The 17871-nt window shown below is 52.8% G+C and overlaps 5 annotated features.

The window, feature by feature from the left end:
- Positions 1037-1930: an enhancer, noted in NCBI's record as "NANOG-H3K27ac-H3K4me1 hESC enhancer chr2:121345700-121346593 (GRCh37/hg19 assembly coordinates)". NCBI's record gives its function as "activates a minimal SCP1, AML or CMV promoter by ChIP-STARR-seq in primed H9 embryonic stem cells {active_cell/tissue: H9 hESC(primed)}" and the evidence as "EXISTENCE:reporter gene assay evidence [ECO:0000049][PMID:30033119]".
- Positions 7725-8233: an enhancer, noted in NCBI's record as "H3K4me1 hESC enhancer chr2:121352388-121352896 (GRCh37/hg19 assembly coordinates)". NCBI's record gives its function as "activates a minimal SCP1, AML or CMV promoter by ChIP-STARR-seq in primed H9 embryonic stem cells {active_cell/tissue: H9 hESC(primed)}" and the evidence as "EXISTENCE:reporter gene assay evidence [ECO:0000049][PMID:30033119]".
- Positions 10425-10925: an enhancer, noted in NCBI's record as "H3K4me1 hESC enhancer chr2:121355088-121355588 (GRCh37/hg19 assembly coordinates)". NCBI's record gives its function as "activates a minimal SCP1, AML or CMV promoter by ChIP-STARR-seq in primed H9 embryonic stem cells {active_cell/tissue: H9 hESC(primed)}" and the evidence as "EXISTENCE:reporter gene assay evidence [ECO:0000049][PMID:30033119]".
- Positions 10926-11426: an enhancer, noted in NCBI's record as "H3K4me1 hESC enhancer chr2:121355589-121356089 (GRCh37/hg19 assembly coordinates)". NCBI's record gives its function as "activates a minimal SCP1, AML or CMV promoter by ChIP-STARR-seq in naive H9 embryonic stem cells {active_cell/tissue: H9 hESC(naive)}" and the evidence as "EXISTENCE:reporter gene assay evidence [ECO:0000049][PMID:30033119]".
- Positions 16906-17200: an enhancer, noted in NCBI's record as "tiled region #1201; K562 Activating non-DNase unmatched - State 20:ReprD". NCBI's record gives its function as "activates a minimal TATA promoter and a strong SV40 promoter by Sharpr-MPRA in K562 cells {active_cell/tissue: K562}" and the evidence as "EXISTENCE:reporter gene assay evidence [ECO:0000049][PMID:27701403]".

Below are 17871 nucleotides of genomic sequence, written 5' to 3' on the forward strand. Positions count from 1 at the left end.
GCCTGGATCGAGGCACGCTGTCCCCGCGCCGCCCGCACTGCCAAGGGCAAGGGCACGGCCGTGACCGGGTAGGAGGCGGATCCCACCTGTGAGCCACTGAGCCACTCAGCCTCCGGGGAAGAGCGAAGATCAAAGCGGCACCCCACGTCGCGGGGCTGGGGAGGGAAGGGCATGAAGGCCTGTCCTCTGCGAGGCTTCAGGCGCCTGGAGGCAGGGTGGGAGGGCAGGGCGCGGGGGCTTTGTCTGCGCGGAAACGCCCTGCCCGGCGCCCGCACAAAGGCCGCTTTGTGCCCGCGGCCGGCGGAGGTGGGGGCCGCGCGTCCCCGGATCCCCCTGCCCCGGCCCGGCCCGCGGCCCCGAGGGGGCGCCCGCCACTTCGCCGCCGCCAGCCCGTGGCCCCGGGCGCCAAAGGGCCTCTTAATTGTTCCCAGAACGGGTGGCATTTAGGTCAATTAATATGCAAAACAGGAGTAAATCATCTCATTCGCGGGCCCCACGCGGGGCGGGGAGCCGAGGCATTTGCTAGGCAGCGAGGTCGCGGCCCCCGCCGCGTGTTTATCTGGGGAAATGGAAATCAGGCGACGCACAAAGCCGCCCCGCGGGCCGGGCCGCGCCCTCGGCCGCCCTCGGAGGGGTAGCCGGCGCCGGTCCCGACCTGCGGCCCGGGCTGGCAAGTCGGCTGCAAGCCTGGGGTCGCCTCTGGCCCTCTCTGGTCCACCGTGCCTAGCTGGTGATAGCAGGAGTTCTGTTATTACATAAATCAGGTATTGGGAGAATAATACGATTCCCTAAGTGCTTCTAATTGGAGCTTGCGTGCTCCTGACCCATTATTATGCTACTGAGCCTTGACTGAAGTCCAAAGCCTACTCGCATTCCTGCATTTAATCCTCAAAATCGCACTAAGAGGCAGGTGATTATTCCTATTGTTCAGCTGAAGAAACCGAGGCAGAGAGGTGAAGATCGTCACCTGGCCCAGACTAAGCCCTTCACCATTAAGGTGTGAGCCCCAGGCCTCTGTTATTTCACTGGGCAGCTCTCTTCGCTGGGGAAAATGGCCCCTGCAGGCAGAGTTCTGTGAGTCTCGCTACTACTGCACCATCCTTACTCATTCTCCCTGAATTCCAGAAATGTAACAGGACCCACTGTGCACCTGCACTCTTCTAGACTCAGACGGTTCCACAGGGAACAAAACAAGAGATTTTGGCCTCTTAGGACACCAGCGAGAGCACCTCCAGGAGAAGCCAGCAGGGCGACAGGAATGGCCCCTCGAAGGAGGTGACACCTGAGCAGAGACCTGAGGGAGGTGAGAGAGACTTCCAGGAAGAGGCAATGGTCTTGAGGCTGCAGCATAAGGAGGCCAGGGAGGGGGGTGTGTGGAGCAAAGCGGGAGGGATGGAGACAAGGCAGAGGTGGCCAGGGCTGGCACTGGGGGTGCCGGCTCTAGTTCCAGCTGGACACCGGAGTCTCTGGCTTCTCTTGGTCTGGGGACAGTCTGTGCATGGGGAATTGTAAAGGCTTCTGCTTGGCTCAGCCTGGTTCAAGTGGCCCCATCCTGGGCTAATTGGCAGTGGCTAGGGGCAGGTCACATACTGGACACACTCCCATCAGCTGGACACCCACCCCAATCGATACCCACTACGCAAGTAGACCCCAAACCTGGGCAGCAGGCAAAGTCAAGAGCAGTCCAGGGAGCCAGGGTCCAAAAGCTGGAGACATTTCTGAAGGTTGTCAATCTGTGAGGACAGACATGAGCCTGGAACTGAAGATTTGGATAACCCACGTGCACTGGGGCCAAGAGATAAGGGGCATCAGGTGTCCAGACGTGATGGAGGGATGGGAGGGAGAGGTAGGTGAACAGGGAGTGCTCAGAGCTAGGTGAGATATTTTAGCAAAATCACCAAACAGGAAAAGTTGAAGATGCTGGTCCCGTGCAGCTGCTTCTGTAGGAGTTCATGGGGACAGGGGTTACCAGAGGAGGGTTTGCAAATTTTTCCTATAGGATGCCCTCTCTATGGTGATGTACTTGGTCGTCAGTCAACTGCCTGGACAGCCCTGACTTTTCCCCTCTCTCCCCACCCTTGCCATGCGCTCATCAAGCCTGCCCATTCTTGCTCCTTAATGCCTCTCTCCCCAATCCCTTCCTTTCCATTTCTGTGGTTCTCTTTTGGTGAAGACTATCAATCATCTTTGGATCATTGCAGCGGCTTCCGCCCTGATCATGCTACTCTCACTCTTGCCTTCAATTCACACTCCAGATAGGGCACCACAGGAATCTTCCAAACACGTAAATCTAAGTTACCACCCTGGTTAAAACCTTCTATAATTAACACAACAACACAACCTGATTAAAAAATGGGGCAAAGGACTTAGGCATTTCTCCAAAGAAGATATACAAATGGCCAGCAAGCACGTGAAAAGACACCCATCACCCATCTTTAGGGAAACGCAAATCAAAACCACAATGAGATACCATTTCACACCCATTAAGATGGCTATTGCACAAATATGGTCCATTGCATAAATATATCTCTTCTCCTGTTGATGAACGTCTGGGCTCTTTCCAGTTTGGAGCTATTATGAATAAAGCTGCTGTATATTGGGAGACAATTCCCCATGAGTCTCTCGCATTTCTACACATCTTATGAGTAAGGCACTGATTGACCTATCTTTTCATGGGTGTTTGTATTGCAGACAGCTTTGGAAGATCAAGCGTCTCCCTCTGGAGCAAAGGGCAAGCACGCTTGCTTCCCATTGTAAAAGATCCAGGTTCCCTAAGCTCAGGGTTCCTCTCCTGTAATGCAATTCACTGCAAGTACAGGATCCATCTGGGCCCACTCACATTGTTCTGTGGGACTTGGGGCAAAAGGAACTGACGCAAATATGCTGATACACATGCTGTTTGCTGTGCTGTGAGGAATAACATCCTTTGTCTCTGACTCATGGTTCTGGCATCTTCTGCCAGCCTCTCAAGAGCCTAACTCATTACCTTTCAAGTTGAGTAAAATTTCAGACCCTTTATAGTTCTTGACATTAAGTGTTCTTATACAAGTGTTTCTGGGAACATATATTTTCCCACTTCTTCTTTGTCCTTCTCATCCTGCTGCCTGGAGTGCGGACCTGATGGCTAGAGCCCTGGTTACCATCTTGACCCATGAGGACCAGAGACGTAGTGGGTAGAAGGAGCATGGGTGTCCAAGGCTTTTGCAGGTCAGAGTGATCATATTGGCCCTGGAATTTTACAGGAGGGAAAATGCCTTGCTTACACCACTGTACCGTGGTGTTTTCCAACCCTATCTAATGCAACCCATGTCGTGGCTCATCCTGTCTGGGATGTTTTCCCGCCCTCCCTTCCTTTGTTCACTAATGTATATCATACTAACCTCAAGAATGACTCTTCATATTTCTAGTTCTTCCCACAATGATTGCTTCCTGTATCCTAGGGCCTTGTACAGTGTCTGGCACAGTAGTAGGTGCTCAGGAGGTAGGAGTTGATGAGGTGAACAAATACATAAAAGAAAAACGCAGGTTGGCAGAGATGATGGGAAAGCGGCATTCTCACTCAGAGGAACAGGTAGAGCATTAGGTTGTCGGGGAGGGAGCCCGAGCTATAGTCCTGTACCGGATGACACCACCGCAGCTCTTTCCTCTCTGGGCTCAGTTCTCTGGCTCTGCAGTGTGGGCTTTGGCTAGGATGATGAATGCCCATGGTCCCCACTGATTCTCAAGCCCTGTGCAAACTCTGAAATTTGAATACTGCTTTCCTGGCAATGCCTCCCTGCTTTTCTCTCCTGTAACTTATATTTGACCAGTGGCATCACTTGATGGCTGAGAAAGGTCCTACTCCTTGCTGGGCCCAGGACTGCTCTGCAACCCAAGCTTGGGGAGACATGGGTGCCTGGGCAGCTTAGCAGCTGGGGAGACTGACAGCTTTAGTGAGCCCAGCGGGTGGCATCAAGTTTCTGGGTGCCTGGTCACCATGTTAATCTGCTCTTGGTGCCACTAATACCAATTTGTGAGCAGACAGCCAGGATCAGACAGGCCAGCTGTCAGGCAACTGTGGACAGCTCAGTGTGTGGTTTGATTTTATGGCTTAGGGCTGGAATTATAAATTAATTAGCAAATTTAAGTTTCTGGAGCTGCTTCAGATAGGTAGCTCCCAGGGGCCAGGTGACACTAGTTTGACCCAGTGACCCCAGCCCAGGTCCTGCCACCCACCATTACCACCACCAAGGGAGTCAGAAAGAGTCCATCTTGTTTCCAGCACCACCACCACCCTGCTGGGGGACCCAGGTGGGCCCCTCTCCCTCTCTAGGCCCAGCCTCTTCATCTGTACACAAAGGAGCAGGACTGGATGCTTTTGTCTGTCTTCTCCACGCCAGCATTCTGGGATTCTAATTAGGCACAAGATGTCTAGCGTGTGGTAGAGCCAGCAAAGCTCTCTGTCCATGCTTCTGCCTCCAGGGCAGGTGGGACCACTTCCCCTGCTTTACCCCTGTAACCTTTACTGAGCTCCAGGGATCCTTGTTTCCAGAGAAGACAGGCAATAGAGTGGAGTGATCTAAAATTACACATGCAGCTGAGTCGCCCCTTCAGCCAATCTCCACCCTCCATCAGGGAGGTTTCCCAGTGTCCTGATGGCGGGGCGGGGTCTCCAGATGCCCCACTGGGCTACAGGCCCTGCCTGTCCTAGTGCTGCCTCTCATCCCCTCTCATCGCCCATGAACCCCGGCCACACCAGCTCCTCCCTAGTCCTCCTAAGGGCCAGCCGCCTTCCTGCCTGCCACAGGATCCTAGCATATGCCATTCCCTCTTCCTCCCCAGTGTACCCCCCCTTCCTCCAGCCTGTCGTCCTGCAGGCTAATGCCCCCTCCTTCAAGAAGCCTGACCTGACGCCCTATTCACTGCTCTCTGAGTGCCCTGCACTTTCCCTGGCACCCCTCATCACAGAGGGAAGCACTGACTCTTCGGGTCACTTGTTATTTCATGCTGTCCCCATCCCCCCTTCAGGACTGTGAGATCCATGGCAAAGGAGCACATCTGTTTTATTCACCAATTTTTTCAGAGCCTACTAGTGGTCTCCCAACATTTATTGTCTCCTCCTCTCTCCCAGTAAGAGATCTCTTGATTTTTAGCTTGGCCTGTGTTCACCCGAAATAAAGACCACAGCTCCCAGTACCTTTGCAGCAGGTTGTGACCACGTGATCAAGTTCCAGCCAACGGAGTCCGAATGAGCAGGCTGTGCGTGGCGCCTGGCTGTGCCTTTCCTCTTTCACCTCCTCCCGCTGGTGCAGGAGCATGAGCAGTGTAGGTGTGAGGTGTGCGGACCGTGCAAACAGGAGCTCGCTCCAGAAATGCAGAGCAACAGGTAGAGGGGCCTGAGCAATGCACCAGCTGTGGCTTTGACAAGCAAGGAGCCAGCCTATGTCTGGTTAGAGCCACTGTCATTCTAGCCCAGGTCATATAACTGCATCCTAAACCTAACTTGTATACCCCTACATCTGGTAGGCACCTGGTAAACATTTGCTGACCAAATGAGGGATTGAATGAATGAACGAGCAAAGTATTGGAAAACCAGAACTAATGATCCTAAGCTTCAAGCACATTTTGGATTCCAAGAGCTTTTATGGGCTGACCTGGGACCTAATAAACATTATTTGCTTGAAACATGGCCCAAGTCCTCCACAGATGGGCTTGTGTGTCCACAGACAGTGGCGGGCTTCATTGGCCCTGAGATGGGGCCTGTTGATCTTCTTCTTCCTGACACAGCCATAAGGCTCAGGGAGGCCCTTCCTGTGGCTAGCTGGCCCCCACCAAGTAGAAGGTGTCTCTTTATTTTTCTTTTCTTTTTTTTTTTTTTTTTTTTTGAGATGGAGTCTTGCTCTGTCACCCAGGCTGGAGTGTAGTGGCCCGATCTTGGCTCACTGCAACTTCCACCTCCCGGGTTCAAGTGATTCTCCTGCCTCAGCCTCCCAAGTAGCTGGGATTACAGGCACATGCCACCACACCTGGCTAATTTGTTGTATTTTTAGTATAGACAGGGTTTCACAGTGTTAACCAGGCTGGTCTCGATCTCCTGACCTCGTGATGCGCCCGCCTTGGCCTCCGAAAGTGCTGGAATTGCAGGCGTGAGCCCCCGCGCCTGGCCGAGGGTGTCTCTTTACCAGGGCTCCACCAAGCAGAAGCCCTACTAATGATGGCAAGGACGTGCCAAGGCCCTAAGAGTGAAAGCGAGACCAGATTTCATCCCAAGTTCTTTTTAGAAAGGTAGAAGTATTTTTTTAATGGATGCAAAAGCTTTGAAAACTGGTGATATATGAAGAAGGATAATAATAAATGTTTTGACAAGGGGGCCTGTCAGGACAGGCACTGCAAAAAAGTAGGTAGAAATTGAAAATGTCCCAGAATCTATAGTTGCCAATGCCTGAGATTCCTTCCTTTGGGTAAAGTAACCATAGTTTTTGAAATGCAGATAACCCTTGACAGGGCATGCTGTAAGCCATTCTCAGCGATCTGTGCCTCTGTGTGTGGGCACGCGTTTATGAGATCCTTGCAACTGATTCAGAGCAGGTTTGAATGGAGGGTGGTGGGGAGAGCCGAGAAGGGGGCTAGGCGAGGAGATTAGGGAGGCCAGGCTGCAGTCCACCTACCTCGAAGGTGCCGCTTCCTAAAGATTGGCAGGAGAATGGGGCATTGACACGTACTTTACAAGAAAGAAAGGCACACGCAGTTCTTCCGCCACACCAGTGACCTCAAGGTCCATCCTCTTTCGGGGGTGCAGAACAGTGGCTCTGAGGTCACCCGGGTCGCTGCTGTCCCCAGCTGGAAGGGTTACCTGCGGCCATGGAGGCCAGCTCCCTGCCTCAAGGCACGGATCTACCCAAGCCACATTGGACAGATGTGCTACAGTTTACATTTAGGCTGCAAGTGTCATTAATTACCCGCAGAAGCCATGAGCTCAGGGAGATTCCCTTGGCTTAGGTCTTCCACCTCCTGCCAGAAATGCAATGCAGGTGGGTTGGGCTGCGGAAACTGGATGGATTAAAGTTCAGGCTTAGCAAGAAGATATATTGGTAGGTGATTATGTGCTTTGTGAAAGCTTTGCTGTACAAAAGGGAACTACCCCCCAACCCCAACCACCACCCTTGGATTCCACCCATCCACGTGCCCTGCCGGGAAGATTTAGCCCCATCTGCTGTTGTGGAATTGTGTTGGAAACCTTTGGGGATACAAGGGAAAGAGCAGCTAGCTTGGCTATCCTAGACCTGGAGCTGCCCCACCTGTACCTTGCTTTTGGGTAACTTTAGGCAAATCACTGCCCTGCTCTGAGCCCCACTCTCCAACACCTTTAAGGCTCAGCACAGTCTCTTGGGGCTGCTTACAAGCTGTGTGTTCTTGTGCAAGTGACTCAACCTCTCTGAACCACAGCCTTTTCAGCCATAGAAAGAGGAAAGTCATGACACCTATCTCAGAGGCGTCTTGTGAGAATTAAGCCAGATGCCAATGACAGGTGCCTGGAATGAAGAGGCCGACCTATTCGATGCAGTGAATAGGCCCAGCCTGTTACAAACCTGGGCTCCAGACTCCAGCCCAGTCACCCACCGCCTTCTGAATCGCATCAATTGGTCCCTGGGTGGGTCTCTGTTGCAGAGGGTGGAGGGGCAGCCCGGGGACTCGATGCAGCAAAACTTACTGAGCCTTCAGTCAATATTTGAAAAATCAGGAGACCCCCCACCCCCACTCTCACACATATGCACACACTCTCTCACACATGCACACATAACACACATACACACCCTGCATTTCTGCCTTCTCTAGAAAAAATCAGAAGACCTGGCCACCCTAGGTGCCAATTCCTGCCAGATGTCAAGCAGCTCTTGCTGAATAGAAGCTGCTCCCTTTGGATGGGAGCATGAATGTGTCATTCCTCCACAGTCCCGCCCTTCTGGAAGCCTCTCACCTGCCCCCTTGCTCACATGCCATTTTCTTGCCCCGCCCCGCCCCGCCCCTCTGGGCTTCTGTCACTGATTACTCTCATGGCTGTTCTGTGTCTGTGGGGCTCATGTCTCTTCCATCTTCGCCCTGCACCCTGACTCCCAGAGCCAGCCCAGTGCTGAGCCCAGCATTGGGTGCAGTGGATGCTTGTTGGCTGTGGTCCTTTGTTCTTTGGTGTGCAGGGCCCTGCATGCCCACCCTATGGGGCTGGCCAGGTCTCAGAACCAAGCAGGTGCTCCTGGTGGACTGAACCTTTGAGCTCAATGCAACTGGACAGATGCTTATTTCAAGAAGATCAGAATTTGATTTCTGTGCTCCCTGGGGGTGTGGGGTGGCAAAAACAACCTGACTTGGCTGGGGAGCAGGGTGGCGGCTGGCCCAGGAATGCATAGCCGTGTGCTGGAGGCTGGAGCCCCTGTCTTGTTCTCCTCACAGCCGTGGTGTTTGGTGGAGGCCCAGGGCTCCCCCTCTTTGTTCTGTGAAAAGCAGAGGCCACAGAGAGTTCCTGTCCCTGTCTGTGAGGGCATTAGGGCTAGAGTTCCCTGTTTGAGGGAACAAGGTCTGCAGGTAGGCCCCCACCCATGAGCTGTACAGGTCAACTCTCCATCCCACCTATGAGTGCACACTGAGCCTCAGCCATCCTGAGTCCTGCGCTCAGTGCTCCAGGGATGCCCAGAAACCATTCCTGCCTGTAGGGAGCTCATGGCTGGGATTAGAGTAAAACATGAAGCTGAGGAGTTAGGCCACAGCAGGAGGCTGGGAACTCTTGGGAACAAGTTCTGTGGACACCCCATGGAAAGAGAGGGCCGAGGATTGTAGGCAGGGAGGTGGTCAGGGAGGGCTTCCTGGAAGAGGTGGGGAAGGGACTACAACTCTAGAAGGAATGAGCTGTCTGTGAGTACACTTTGACTATTCTCATCTCTCCCCTTCCTTAGAGCCCAAGTCCTGAAAATGTCCCCTCAAGCATGTATGAGCAGGTAGTTTAGATTTCAGTCTATGCAAAAAAGCAACTGCAGGAGCTATTCTCCATGGAACAGCATCTCTGGTCACCTGGCAGCAGCTCAGAGGCCCGGCCACAGTCCTGGCTGTCGCCTGTGCCTGGCCTCCACTGCCTGTCTCAGGCCCTTGCCCTTCCCATTCCCTGGCCCTCCACATGGTCCACCCTCTGCCCTTCCAGGATGGTGTGGCCCTCCGTGGCTCCTGCTGCTCCCCGGCCACTGCTCACTGCCAGCTCTCTGTGAGTCTCTCTGCTCTCTGGATCCTTCTCTGTGTATTTTGCTGCCCAAAGCCCCAAGAGACAGCATCTGTTTGGCTGGACAGACCCTGGGCGCTGTGCCACACTCGAGCCAGGCTACTGACAACTACCCTGGGTCAAATCTTTGAGGCTGGCCTCCCCAGCTATGGCCAGAGCAGCGGGGTTGCGTGGAGGTGCTGGCCCTCCTCAGGGCAGCAGTGTGGCAGAGTCCTCGGCTGTGTGGGGGGAGCAGTCTAAGAACCCTCACATCCAGGATCATTCCAGCGATTCCCAGCCCTCGGGGCACCCTCAGGCAGCGCCACAGCCAGGCGGGAGGAACAGAGGCTGGCCAGAGCTGAGACACTGCCTCCGACGCAGCTTCCAGTATGCCTTGCACCAGGGCCCCACCGTGGGACCCAGGTGGCAGCTTTGCTGTTCTCGACAAATGCAAACCCCATCCTGTGACACCAGCCAAGGAAGCAGGCACCGCCAACAGCTTGGCGCTCACCAAACCGTAAGACTTTTTGGGCAAAAGATTTTGTTCTCTCTGCCCCACCAAACACTTGTCTCTTTTGATTTTGCCATTGTTCTTTCCAGGGAAATCTAATTTTAAAGCAAAAAAAATATGTTTCCTAACCAACAGGACACATGTGTGTGCCAACAAATATTTGATTTGAAAGCAAGTCTTTGCTCAGTGTAAGCTTTGTTTTTAACGGACAGGACAAAACACCGGGACCAGCTGTGCAGAGCATGTGTTTGGCCCCGGAGGCCCAGTGTTCCTTTCAGCTTGGAAATCTGGCTCGAGGTGTCCAGCTGGGACCCCATCGTAAGGGTCACATAGTTTCCAATCTGGAGGGTGAGGCGGGGCCCGGTGGCAGTAAGATCTTCCCTTTCAATAAAGAACCAAAATATCCCAGTCTGCAACATTATCAACCCCGGATGTGTCTCCACACACAAAGCCGCTTGCAAAATAAAGCCACATTTGAGCTCAGGCCAGGGGTGATGTTGAAAACAATGCAGCTAATAAGTCACCAGTTGCTGGATGGAATCAAACTGTTTTTGTTTTGTGGAGGTTTCTCAGCTTCTGGGGCAGCTCTTCCGCCCCAGGGGGAGAGCCTTGTGTCAGCCTCTCTCTTCCTCCGCTCCAGAGATGCTGCTGTGTCCCCACAGGCCTGGGGCTCCCAGGGCAGACCTCAGTATCCCACACATATACTCAGTCACATCTTCCATAGCGTGTGCTAAATCATACCCTAGACCCAGCCCAAATAAGAAGAAAAAATACCAGTTGCATCCAGTGGCAGGAAACCTCAAAGGTCAGCGGTGACTGTCGGGTGTCTGGATGTCTCTGGGATCAGCACCGTGTTGGTAGCGGGGGTTCATACCATGGAAGCACCAAGCAGGGCTGTGTGGGGGCTCCCGTGTTAGGGACAAATGCGAGTGTGAAATGAATGCCCGCCGCTCAGAGGCTGAGCCTCACACACTACGAAACCTCTCTGGGCTACAGTTTCTCTTTTGTGCAGTGAATGTGTATTTCACAACCTCATGAGGTCGGAGGTGGGGAGAAAAGGGGAGAAATCTGTGAGGCCCAGGCAGAGGCTGCAGAGGGTCCTGCCCATACGCATTCTCCTGGCTGCCCTGGAGACACGGGCCTAGTGTTTCGCGGAGCACAGGGCCGCCCAGTCTCCCTAGTGGCTGGGTGTGGCCATGTGAGTGACCCACTGGCTGTGAGCATAAGTGCTACATGGAGCTTCTGGAAATTTCCTTAAAGGACAGGTAGCAGGCACCTGCACCCACTGCTTGGAATGTAGAAAGCATGGCTGGTGCCGGGGCCCATTGTGGACCACGAGGCCTGGGCTGCGTCTGGAGCAGGGTGCAGCGGGGGTCCCACTGCGTCTGTCTTGGCCTGCCTCCCTCTGCACTGCTTCTCCACAAGAGAGAAGCTTCTTTCTCCTTTCCTAAGGGATTTCCACCCTTTTTGCTAGCACCCATCTCATGGGTACAGGCCTGGCATTGAGTACCTGTGAATGAGCTGAATGTTTGTTCTCCAGGGATGGACGTGTCCTGCAAGACCCTGGGGTGACTGAGTGGGGCCTCTTGGTGGCATGGAGAAGGTGGCCCACTCCCATCTGGACAGGCAGACAGGGGCTACAGGAGGAAAGCGGGCCAGTAGGGAGTGGTAGGGACTGGAGAGCCAGGGCCCTCAGCCACTGCCCAGGGCCACCAACTCTCACCCTGAAGAGAGTCAGACTGGCCTTGCCTGAGTCGCTGGTATTTTAAGGGAAACTGGGAAACTCCTAGTTTTGTACATGCTGATAGCTCATTCAGATTTGCTGGCAACACACGGTGCAGCTGCCGTGGCAGGGGCTCCATGAAGCACATCTGCTGTGCATGAAGCTTCCAGTCTGGTGCCACCCATTCGTGCCCTCTGTCTGTGTGGCTGGGTTAAAACACAGGCTGGCATGGGGCAGGCCACAGGCCAGCTGTTGTGCAGCCTTCTTCTTTTCTTTGTGCCTCTCAGAGGGCTCAGGGGCTCTCCACCTTACCTCTGGGAGACTCCACACACCCCTGAACCCCTCAGTCTGTTCACACCAATGCCAATGCCCCTCTTTGCCTCTCCTGCCATTTCCCCTCACTCAGAGTCACACTGGCATGATGCCTCTACCCCATTACACACTGCCAATGCACAGGCTGTTCCATCTTTCAAAATGAGGTGGGGCACAGTGAACAAGATGCCCTCAATGTCTAGTCTCTCCTTCTTGCTTTATTAAATGCCCTTCTGAGTTTAAGCTGGGCACAGGACCTCCCGGCTAAAGACCGCTTTCTCCAGCCTCCTTGACAGCAAGGTGTGGCCCACGGAATAAGTCTGATTGGTCAGATTTGAACAGCAGCAACTTCTGGGCCATGTTTTCAAAAGAAAAAGGAGTGCCTTCCACTTCCCCTTCCCACTTCCCGCTGGCAGGAATGTGGGCGTGAAGGCAGGAGGGGGAGCAGTCACCTTAGATTGAGTGGTGAAAGCTGGCTCTTGTGATCAGCAGAGCCTGTGTCCACGGTGCCATGGTGATGCCACATAAGCCCATCATGCTTCCATTCAGCCTGCCGTGTGAGGGGCCAGTAGACTCTGATCTGGTTTCATGACAGTTACTTTGTCATTTTTATAGCAAGCCTGTATTTTACAGCAATAGTGAGCTTGTGTTCTAACTGGTTCACGTGGCTTACCATTTTCATCTTACGTAGAATTCATTCATGTCAGTTACCCAACTGGATCCACTTCATTCTTTCATGCATCCATCCAGTTAGCGAGTCCTGAGCATTTTCTGTACAGATCACTGGGGAAAACACAAAGGCAGACAACTCGCAGTTCCCCACACTTGAGCAGAAACTTAGGAGTGATGGTGAGAGGACAAGTGCCATTAGAACCCTGTTCTGTGGCCCAAGGTGGCAGTTCTGCAAACAGTTGATGAACATCTGCCCTGTGCTTCACTCAGAGCCCCTGTGGGCTGGGTAGTTGCTGCAGACGGTGACATCACCTGACTCTCCCAGGGCAGCCCCAGACGTGCAATAAGACTCCAGCCAGGTGAGTGAGCCAGTGTGCTTGTGTGTGCACACGTGTGTGAGCGAGCATGCACACACATGGACGAGGGAGAGGAGAGAGAGGAAGCAGGTCTGTGTTTAGGGACTCATGGACAACGATTCACCTATTCATCAAGATTGCATTACATACCTCCTGTGCATGACTGCTGACAGAGGCCAATAAGCCAAGGCCCTGCCCTGGAGAGGCCCCCCGTAGGCTGCAGACACACCTGCAGACACTGGTGGCTCCAGTCACTCCCTGCCCTTTGTCCCTGCCCTTAGGATGTGCCATTCATGCTTTCCCCCGAATCGTATGACCAAGAGCTAGGGTTAGGTGCTCTGCCTAAAGCCATTGCATAAAAAATCCCGACAACCAGTCTCCTTAGAAATATTCCTAACCATGCTTATCAGCCACCTGTTGGCCAGCAAGCCCAGAAATTTATATACATCGTTGGTATTCATCTTCACGATAACCCTAGAATGAAGGCAGCTTATCCCCCATTTTATAGATAAGAAAACTGAGGTTTGGAGAAAAAGAAATGGAAAAGGAAAAAGCATGGGCACCATCAGGAAGAGAGACTGGCCGGGCATTGCTCGTTTCCCTGCACCCCTCCCCAGGCAGGTGGACTGGGCTAGACGCAAAGAGGCAGGACCACGGTCTGGGTCAGAATGCAAGCTCTGGAGCCTACTGGCTGGGTGACCTTAATTGACCTTCCTGGGCCTCTGTTTCATTGTCTGCAAAATGGAGCCCAAAATACCCAACTCATAGGATCGCTGTAAGACCTAAGTGAAAACCTGTAGAAAAATGTGCATGCAGACACGAGCCTAATATTGGGGCCACTACTGACTGGTGGTTATAAGGCTGAGACTCAAGGTCAGACAGGCCTGGCCTTACCCCTTCCTGGCTGTCTGTGCCCTTAACCCCTATGCAGATGGCAAGAGAGCCCTGGTGCCCATCTTGTGGGGCTATGTAGGCAAAATGAGGAGAAGCAAGTGTCCAGCAGGCAGTAGCCATGGCTTCTCTTGCAGCTCTGGTGTGTGTGCCTCCTTCTCTATACTGGAGCCCCATCCTCAGCTGTGTGAGCAGACAGGGCTGCCCCGTGCTCCAACCCCTGGTCAGCACCCACCCAAGGAGCGGACCGCGGGGCACTGGTCTGCCCACTGTCCCCGGCTGTGTCTCCTCAGTTTCTGCCCTCTAGCAGTTGTTCCCAATTTCCTTCCAACCTTTCAAACCTCCAGCCAATCAGCCTCTGACCCCAAGGACCAAGGTTAGAGGCAGAAATAAAGACAAAACAGTGCTGCTGTCTTAAATCACCAAATTAGCTGTTATGGAGGAGGGCAGTAAAAGAAAATAAAACAAAGATGAGATGTAAAGTCTGAAATAGAAACACCAAGGAGAGTGACTGGTGGAGGTTAGCAAGTTAGGAAGCCAGGCAGACCGAGGTGCTATCTGGGTGGCCTTGGGCAAGTCTCTGCCCTCCTGAGTCTTTGCCCCTTAGAGCTCAGGACTTCAGAGACCATGATTCCTGGGTTATGCTTTCATGGGGGAGCCCAGAACTCTGTGCTGGGCTGTCATTCCTCTCAACACACCCTCCCCGGTGTCGTCACCTGCTCTTGGCTCCAAGTCCCATCCAAGAGTCTGTCTCCAGCTAGGCTTCTCTCCTCCAAAGTGCAGATGTCCAAAGTCATCCATTGGCTTGACATCTGCCCAGAGGCCTCACCCATTGCTATAGCCACATGTCCAGGACTGGTGGAGGCCGCCATAAGGAGACGGCCCTTGTCTCACGGGAAGGGGAGCCTGAAATTCCCAGGGGCCGGAGGAGGCTGCACTGGAACCACACCCCACTCAGGACTGCTGAGCTGAGAGGGTGCTGCCTCAGTGAAAGCTCTGCCACCTCACATTGCCAGGTCCCAAGCGTCTGACCGCACCGGGAGAGGGTCAGAGTGTGCCTGGCATGGTGGGCCCTGGCTCTGTACCTTCCACCCTGCCGAAGAGACTTTGGGTTGCATCTCTCTACATAGCAGAAGAGTGGAGACATAGGAGCCTGCCTCACAGAGTTGTGGGGTGGCCTGGGAGCGGGCTGGCCCCCTTGGGGATTCTGTGGCCCAGTTCCCACCCACCATGCCCCTGCCCAGCAGCCTCCCTGCAGGCTCCTGAGGGTTCAACCTGGTGCACAATCTTCAGGCCTCTCCTGCCTTGACCTGACAGCCCTCCACACCCCAGCCACACCCTTCTTTAGTGCTGTTATTTTTTCATTATTAAAACGTTATAATAGTAATACATTTTAGTTGCTTAAATTCTGCAATAGTGAAACAATAAAGATGGAAATCACTCCTTCAGTTCCATTCCACTGCTCAGAGCTACCTACCATTGACAGTTGTACATTTCACTCCAGAAATATCTATGACTGCACACAGTTACATATGCAGGTGCATGTATATGTCCGTGTGACTGCACACGCAGGATTAACCAGCCCATGCTGCCCATGCTGTCATGCATCTTGCTGTTATTTTCACTGGCTGAGTTGGAAGCATTTCTCAATGCCAGCGGGGCAGCCTTTGTGTTAGCTGCATAGTTTTCTGTTGTGCAACCTCCTCTCTGTTGACGAGCAATTAGTTGGCTCCACTTTCTTCCTTTGCTCGTGCAAACCCTGAGGCACTGAACATCCTAAAAGTGAAATTTCTGGGTCCCAAGGAGTGTGCATTTTTGAATATCACTAAGCTGGCCCAGCTGCCTCCCAGCCTCCACGGGGACCACACCCCGTCTCAGTATAGGAGATCCCGGGAGCCCCACATCCTTGCCAGTGCAGCACTACCTATTCCTTTAAATTTTGCCCCCAGTGTATTCTTGCTGTTTTATTTTGATTTCCCAGGTGACTGGAGAGGTTAAGCATCTATTCAGCCATTCGCTGGCTGTGAGAATTTCTTACCCTACAAGCTACCGGTTTCTTTCCTTTACCCGTTTTTTTCTACCGGGTTATGTGAGTTTCTACTTACTGGCTTATAGAACCCCATTATATGTTATGATATTAATCTGTTGTCTGTGGTACATGGTTTCAGTCTTTTCTCCCAGTCCATCAGATATCTTTTAACTTGGTTTATCATGTATTTGGCTATGCAGAAGCTTTTTATTTATTTTATTTTATTTACTTATTTTTTTGAAACCGAGTTTCATTCTTGTTGCCCAGGCTGGAGTGCAATGGCACGATCACGGTTTACCGCAACCTCCACCTCCTGGGTTCAAGCGATTCTCCTGCTTCAGCCTCCCGAGTAGCTGGGATTACAGGCATCCGCCACCACGCCCGACTAATTTTGTATTTTTAGTAGAGACGGTGTTTCTCCATGTTGGTCAGGCTGGTTTTGAACTCCCAACCTCAGGCGATCCACCCGCCTCAGCCCTCCCAAAGTGCTGGATTGTAAGTATTTTATTTTTTTTGAGATGGGGTCTTACTCTGTCACCTAGGCTGGAGTGCATTGGCACGATCTTGGCTCACTGCAACTTCCGCCTCCTGGACTCAAGCCATCTTCCCATCTCAGCCTCCCAAGTAGCTGAGATCACAGGCACACACCACCCCGCCCGACTGATTTTTTTTTGTATTCTTGGTAGAGACAGAGTTTTGCCATATTGCCCAGGCTGGTCTCAAACTTCAGAGCTCAAGTGATCCGCCTGCCTTGGCCTCCCAAAGTGCTGGGATTATGGGCATGAGCCACCACGCCCTGCCAGAAGCTTTATTTTTATGTAGTCAAATCTGTCAGGCTTTTGTTTTATAGCTTCTGGATTTCGTGTCTTGCTTAGGAAGGTCTTCCCTCCTCCGAGATCATGAAAATATGCTCCTCTCTTTTGCTATTGTGGTGTTAATAGCTTTGTTTTTTCCTTTTACAGACTTCGTCCATCTGAAATGAATTTGGCAGAATGACACTCTCTTTCTTGTGAAATCCAGTCCTGCCTTGGGATCCACAGATGCCCCGACATGTCCTACCTTCCCCGTCCCTTGGTCCCTCATTCAGTCACTCTACAAGTATGTTTTGAGCCTTTGTTAGGCACCAAACACTGGTGATCCTGCTTTGAATAGATCATGTCCCTGTGCTGGGAAAGATGCGTTCAATGGAGGAGACAGGGAGCAAACAAACAAACAAACAAACGGTGCTGTGGCTTGGATGTGTGTCCCCTCCTAATCTCATGTTGAAATGTGACCCCCAGTGTTGGAAGTGGGCTTAGCTGGAGGTGTTGAGTCATGGGGGTGGATCCCTCATGAATGGGTCAGCCCTGCCCCTTGGCCATGAGTGGTAGCGAGATGCCAGAGCTGATTGTTTAAAAGAGCCTGAGGCCGGGTACTGTGGCTCATGCCTGTAATCCCAGCACTTTGGGAGGCCGAGGCGGGCGAATCACGAGGGCAGGAGATCAAGACCATCCTGGCTATGGTGAAACCCCGTCTCTACTAAAAATACAAAAAATTAGCCAGGCGTGGTGGTGGGCACCTGTAGACCCAGCTACTCCAGAGGCTGAGGCAGGAGAATGGCGTGAACCCGGGAGGCGGAGCTTGCAGTGAGCCGAGATCCCGCCGCTGCATTCTAGCCTGGGCGACAGAACGAGACTCTGTCTCAATTAAAAAAAAAAAGAAAAAAAAATTGCCTGGCACTTCCCCCTCTTTTTCTTGCTCCCTCTCTCGCCATGTAACACATCTGTTCGCCCTTTGCCTTCTACCATGAGTAAAAGCTTCCTGAGGCCTCACCAAACCTGAGTAGATGCTGGTGTCATGCTGGTACAGCCTGCAGAACTGTGAACCAAATAAGCCTCTTTTCTTTTTAAATTACCCAGTCTCAGATATTCCTTTACAGCAGTCCACAATGGACTAACATCTGCAGTTAGCGCAATTTCAGGTAGTGTGGGGAAAACTCAAGAGTCCGGGGATGGAGGGCATCACATAGGGCCATATTCACAATGACGAGGTCAGGAAAGGCCCCTCGGAGAAGACAGTCTAAGTCAGAGATGCTAATAGTGTGGGGGAGTGAGCACCATCGCTGCCAGGGTGGTAGTGCTGCGGACAGAGGGACAGCAGGGCCAGGGTCTGGGA

This window comes from Homo sapiens, chromosome 2 (assembly GCF_000001405.40).
Source record: "Homo sapiens chromosome 2, GRCh38.p14 Primary Assembly".
In the NCBI taxonomy this organism is placed as follows: Eukaryota; Metazoa; Chordata; class Mammalia; order Primates; family Hominidae; genus Homo; species Homo sapiens.